The following is a 6,000-nucleotide window of genomic DNA, read 5'->3' on the forward strand; positions in this document are numbered from 1 at the left end:
AGAGTCACGCTCTGTTGCCCAGGCAGAAGTGCAGTGGTGTGATCTCAGCTCACTGCAACTTCCACCGCCTCCTGGGTTCAAGCAATTCTGCTGCCTCAGCCCCCCAAGTAGCTGGGATTACAGGTGCCTGCCACCATGCCCGACTGGCCAATTTTTGTATTTTTAGTAGAGACAGGGTTTCACCATGTTGGCCAGGCTGGTCTTGAACTCCTGACTTCAGGTGATCTACCTGCCTTGGCATCCCAAAGTGCTGGGATTACAGGCGTGAGCCACCATGCCCGGCTGTGTGTCTTCAGTTTACTTTGTCAGTATTTTATAGTGTTTAGTATATAAAGCTTTCACTTCCTTCATTAAATTTGTTTCTCGGTGTTTTATTCTTTTTGATGTTATTTTAAGTGGAAATGTTTTCTTGATTTTTTTTCAGATCATTATTTGTATAAAGAAATGCATCTGATTTTTGTATGTTGATTTTGTATCCTGCTACTTGACTGAATTCATTTATTCTAGTAACTGTGGAATTTTTAGGGGTTTCTACATACAGGATCATGTCATCTGCACACAGGGATAATTTTACCCCCTTTTTTCTGCTGATGCCTTTTATTTCCTTTTCTTATGTGATTGCTCTGGCTAGGACTATGGTGAATATAAGTGTTAAGAGTAGGCATCCTTGCCTTGTAGCAGATATTGAAGAAAAGCTTTCAGTCTTTCCCTGTTTTGTAGGTTTGTTTTTGAATAGGCAATACCTGTGCATGATACAAGAAATACAAAGGTCTTAAAAAGAGTGAACAATGTTAAGTTAGCCTACCTTTTGGCCATCCCTTCCTTGGAAAGAACCAGTGTTTTCTTATAACTTTCCAGAGATTAGTCATCTAGATACAAGTATGTATATATGGGAGAATTTCTCATATTTGGGTGATATGGTCTTTTTCTCTTTTCTTTTCTTTTCTTCCGGTCTGTCTTTCTTTCTGTCCTCGTCTCGTCTCTTCTCTTCTCTTTTCTTCATTTCTTTTGATGGAGTCTTGCTTTGTCATCCAGGCTGGAGTGTAGTGGCGCAATCTCGGCTCACTGCAAGCTCTGCCTCCCAGGTTCACGCCATTCTCTTGCCTCAGCCTCTGGAGTAGCTGGGACTACAGGCACCCACCACCACGCCCAGCTAATTTTTTGTATTTTTGTGTTTTTAGTTCCTCTCCTCTCCAGGAGAGGAACAGGGGCCACAGGGAGCTGATCATGAAACACACTGAGGGTGTTTCATCAGGGAAGTGACAGGAGCATAGTCACATTCAGGAAAGATCACTGCCTCTGGGAAGACAGAGGGTCAGGGCAGAGCCTGGAGGCCAGGAGAGTGCCACCTTCAAACAGGGTGGAGGAGGCACAATTCTGGACAGGGATGTCCATGGCCAGAGGAGTGATCCAGCTCCTAGAAGATGAGGAGAGACCGAAGGTGAGGATGGCTCTTCAGTTTCAGGTTTAGGCACCTGGACAGATGGTCTTGCCTTCTCCAGCGGCAGAAAGCACTGAAGGGGAAAGAGGTTGGGGGAAGGGACTGTGTAGGCTGAGCAGCCTAAGTCTGAGAAGCTGGGCCACTTGCAGGTGTTGGTCCAGGGTGCAAGTGCATTTGGTGAAGGGGGAGACTAGGAAGGGAGGAGAAAGTCTAGTCTGTTACTAGACCTCACCATGCTGCAGGTGTCTGGGCCAGCAGGTCGCAGCCGGAGCTGTGCAGCTGGCTGCTGTCACATCCCTTTCTCTCCCAGCTGCCTTCAGCTGAGCTTAACGCCAGCAGAGGCCGAAACACTTCACAAATGCAACTTGTCAGCTGGGAGGTGCACTCAGAGCTCAGGAACACTGTTTTCCCTCTTTATTGTTTTCCATCATTTTTTTTTTTCAGTCTGGGTTTTGGGCCCCGTCAGTTCCTTTTCTGTTCAACACTGAGCTATGTATCCACCCCTCTCAAGGTTGAAAAAGAGAAAGACTGTAAAAGTGCCCTGCAAAGAAGAGGCTTCCAACTCTCTGGGGGTGGGGGGGGGTGGGGGGCTCTCTTCCTCCTCTTGTCTTCTGGGTTCATTCCAAATTATTCCCCAAAGGAAAAATCACTGAAGGACTGGGGGCGGTGGTGGGGAAAAGGACAGTCTCCCAAGAGGTCAGGTGAAGCCCCAGCCTCATGGTGTTGAGGGAGGGGCTGGGGGAAGCGGGAGCCTGTTCCTAGGAGACACTGTCTACTGGACACCTCATCCTAGAAGGCTTCCCTGAGTTCTGACACTGTTCTAGGAGTAGGAATCATTATCCCACGCTGTGGAGAAGGAAACCAAGGCCGGGTAAAGTAATGTAGGGCCCTTAAAGTTGCAGAGCCAGGAATAAAGTCCGGATTGGGACTCAGGTCTGTGGGCAATCCAAGGCCGTCCCCTTTACACTTCAAATGCTCTTTCCCCCTCCGGAAGCCCTCGCGTCCTCATCCCTACCCCACCTCTTGTTCCCCAAGCGTGGCTAGGGCTAGGGCTCCAGGGCTACACCAAGCACCCTTCGGTCTTCCCGGGAAGAATTTTCCCCGGCCCGGGGCTAGGGTCTGGCGCTGGGGCGCTCCTGGGACCTGCGGGATCACCACTACACTCTGGCGCGCCGAGCGCGGTGAGCTAGGGCGCCAAGGCACAGGTGGGGCTGGAGTCCAGCGCGGAGGCGCGGGGGGCGGGACGCGGGGCCGGGGAGCGGCCAGGGACCGCGGCAGCGCCGCAGTGCCAGCCCGGCGCTGGCGACTGCCTGCCCCAGCCCCTCAGTGGCGGCTTGCTCTCTTCTCTCGCTCCGAACCAGACACAGCCGCTGTCGCTGCCATGTGGCGCGCCGCAGACTCCCGAGAACAGCCCTGGCTGTCAGCGGGCACCAGCCGCTTCCTGTGCCCATCGCGTAGACTGGAGGGGCGCACCACGGCCACCGAGCCAGAGGCGCTTCAGGAAGCAAGAGAAGTCCCCGCGCGCTCCGGGACCCGGCGCAGCTCATGGTGAGCGCCCTCTAGGGCTCGAGGGTCCCTTGGCTGAGGGGGCGCATCCTCGGGGTGCCCGATGGGGCTGCCTGGGGGTCGCAGGGCTGTAGTTGGGATCGCGCACAAACCGACTCTGCGGCCCAGCCCGAAATGCTGCCGCCAAGGAGCAACGGCACCGCGTACCCGGGGCAGTTAGCGCTGTACCAGCAGCTGGCGCAGGGGAATGCCGTGGGGGGCTCGGCGGGGGCACCGCCACTGGGGCCCGTGCAGGTGGTCACCGCCTGCCTGCTGACCCTACTCATCATCTGGACCTTGCTGGGCAACGTGCTGGTGTCCGCAGCCATCGTGCGGAGCCGCCACCTGCGCGCCAAGATGACCAACGTCTTCATCGTGTCTCTACCTGTGTCAGACCTCTTCGTGGCGCTGCTGGTCATGTCCTGGAAGGCAGTCGCCGAGGTGGCCGGTTACTGGCCCTTTGAAGCGTTCTGCGACGTCTGGGTGGCCTTCGACATCATGTGCTCCACCGCCTCCATCCTGAACCTGTGCGTCAGCAGGTCATCAGCGTGGCCCGCTACTGGGCCATCTCCAGGCCCTTCCGCTACGAGCGCAAGATGACCCAGCGCATGGCCTTGGTCATGGTCCGCCCGGCCTGGACCTTGTCCAGCCTCATCTCCTTCATTCCGGTCCAGCTCAACTGGCACAGGGACCAGGCGGTCTCTTGAGGTGGGCTGGACCTGCCAAACAACCTGGCCAACTGGACGCCCTGGGAGGAGGCCGTTTGGGAGCCCGACGTGAGGGCAGAGAACTGTGACTCCAGCCTGAATCGAACCTACGCCATCTCTTCCTCGCTCATCAGCTTCTACATCCCCATGGCCATCATGATCGTGACCTACACGCGCATCTACCGCATCGCCCAGGTGCAGATCCGCAGGATTTCCTCCCTGGAGAGGGCCGCAGAGCACGTGCAGAGCTGCCGGAGCAGCGCAGGCTGCGCGCCCGACACCAGCCTGCGGTTTTCCATCAAGAAGGAGACCGAGGTTCTCAAGACCCTGTCGGTGATCATGGGGGTCTTCGTGTGTTGCTGGCTGCCCTTCTTCATCCTTAACTGCATGGTCCCTTTCTGCAGTGGACACCCCAAAGGCCCTCCGGCCGGCTTCCCCTGCGTCAGTGAGACCACATTCGACGTCTTCATCTGGTTCTGCTGGGCCAACTCCTCACTCAACCCAGTCACTATGCCTTCAACGCCGACTTCCGGAAGGTGTTTGCCCAGCTGCTGGGGTGCAGCCACGTCTGCTCCCGCACGCCGGTGGAGACGGTGAACATCAGCAATGAGCTCATCTCCTACAACCAAGACACGGTCTTCCACAAGGAAATCGCAGCTGCCTACATCCACATGATGCCCAACGCCGTTCCCCCCGGGGACCGGGAGGTGGACAACGATGAGGAGGAGGAGAGTCCTTTCGATCGCATGTCCCAGATCTATCAGACATCCCCAGATGGTGACCCTGTTGCAGAGTCTGTCTGAGAGCTGGACTGCGAGGGGGAGATTTCTTTAGACAAAATAACACCTTTCACCCCAAATGGATTCCATTAAACTGCATTAAGAAACCCCCTCATGGATCTGCATAACCACACAGACATTGACAAGCATGCACACACAAGCAAATACATGGCTTTCCAGTACTGCTCCCTTTATCATGTGTTTCTGTGTAGTAGCTGGTGTGCTTAGAAACCTCACCCCATTGATTGATAGTTCAAAGAATTGGCAGAAGCAGTTGCAATAAACTCAGTCAAATGTACCCAGCCTACCAGAGATGGAACAATGATCCTGTGAGAGAAGAGAGTATGGTGCTGGCTCCTTAAAAAAAAAAAAAAAAAAAAAAAAGATACTTGGTCCTTAAAAAATATGCTCTCCCCTCCCTTTTTAAACAAATGGCTTTTTCAGTCACTTGTTTGTGTTTGAATTGATTTTTAAACAGCAGGTTTTGTGTGTGTGCAGTGATGTGGTGGGAGCACAGCTTTCCTGGGTCTGGATTCCCGTGGCTTTGTGCTTGTGTCATTTCTTCTCTCTGTGCTGGTGGGGGTCTCTTTACCATAGCTTAAGAAGTCTCCCTGATTTATTCTGGTATCTAATAAACACAGATTATTTGTATTATGTGGTGACTATCTTTGCTTTGCTACACTGGGTTTCAGGATTGCTTCTGAAGAAACGATGAGTGCATCCTTAAAATGCAAAGAAGACATTTGCTGGGTCTGGAAGTACATGCTTATTCTCTTTACAGTTTGGCCTTAAAGATACACCAGGGCAAAGGACCTTGAGGAGCTTCTGTTTTCTCAGGTTTCTTTTTATTACTTATACACATGTTGGGTCTGTGCTGAAACCTGGCTTCAATGGCATGGCATTAGATCTTCTCAAGCCCAGATTTTTTTTTTCATTTGGAATCTTTTTTGAAGTAACATGAGACAACTCTCCTTATTCCTAGACAGATGCGATCAGTTCATTGAAAAGTTCATGTAGAATAATATCTTGAATCTTTCTCCATCTGAAATCTGTAGCATGTTTTAGAATCACATGGCTTTTGAGAAATCCTGTTTTCTGAAGGGCTTTGAAATGTGTGAATCAAGATGCTTTAAAAAAGAAATCTATTTTTAAATAGGCATTTTCCTTAGTGGACAATAGCAAATAGAGAAATGCTTTTTAACTAAAATGTAGAAGCCAGAGATGAAATGTGAATGAACTTGAAATTGGAAAATCTGTAGGTCGAGGTGCTCAATAGAAAAGCCCAGCTGACTCCAATCATTTTGTTTTTCCTCTCTGCAGTGTGCACAGTCAAGGGGAGTGTTTTATTCCAGACCCACACCAGTTGAGAGCATAGTATTACCATCAGATCTAAATATGAGCACTATTAATGGAAGCAAATGAAATGTGAATATGCAATTTCTTGCAAGTCCCTGCTTTGAAGCAGTTTTATCAAGGACAGTTCAATCAATTTTGATCTCTCTAAGGCTAATTTTATTGTCAGTCTTCT

The 6,000-nt window shown here is 51.4% G+C and overlaps 2 pseudogenes across 2 annotated transcripts in view; both read left to right on the plus strand.

Annotated features, from left to right (window-relative positions):
* KMT2CP1 (lysine methyltransferase 2C pseudogene 1) overlaps positions 1-2,903 on the plus strand; it is a 26,056-nt pseudogene extending 23,153 nt beyond the window's left edge. Inside the window, exon 10 of the transcript NR_136328.1 lies at positions 2,803-2,903. The product of NR_136328.1 is annotated as a lysine methyltransferase 2C pseudogene 1 (transcript). The remainder of the gene's footprint in view (positions 1-2,802) is intronic.
* Positions 2,625-4,853, plus strand: DRD5P2 (dopamine receptor D5 pseudogene 2; annotated as a pseudogene). Its single transcript, NR_111001.1, has one exon. The product of NR_111001.1 is annotated as a dopamine receptor D5 pseudogene 2 (transcript).
* The last annotated feature ends 1,147 nt before the right edge of the window (positions 4,854-6,000 follow it).

This window comes from Homo sapiens, chromosome 1, assembly GCF_000001405.40.
Source record: "Homo sapiens chromosome 1, GRCh38.p14 Primary Assembly".
Lineage (NCBI taxonomy): Eukaryota > Metazoa > Chordata > Mammalia > Primates > Hominidae > Homo > Homo sapiens.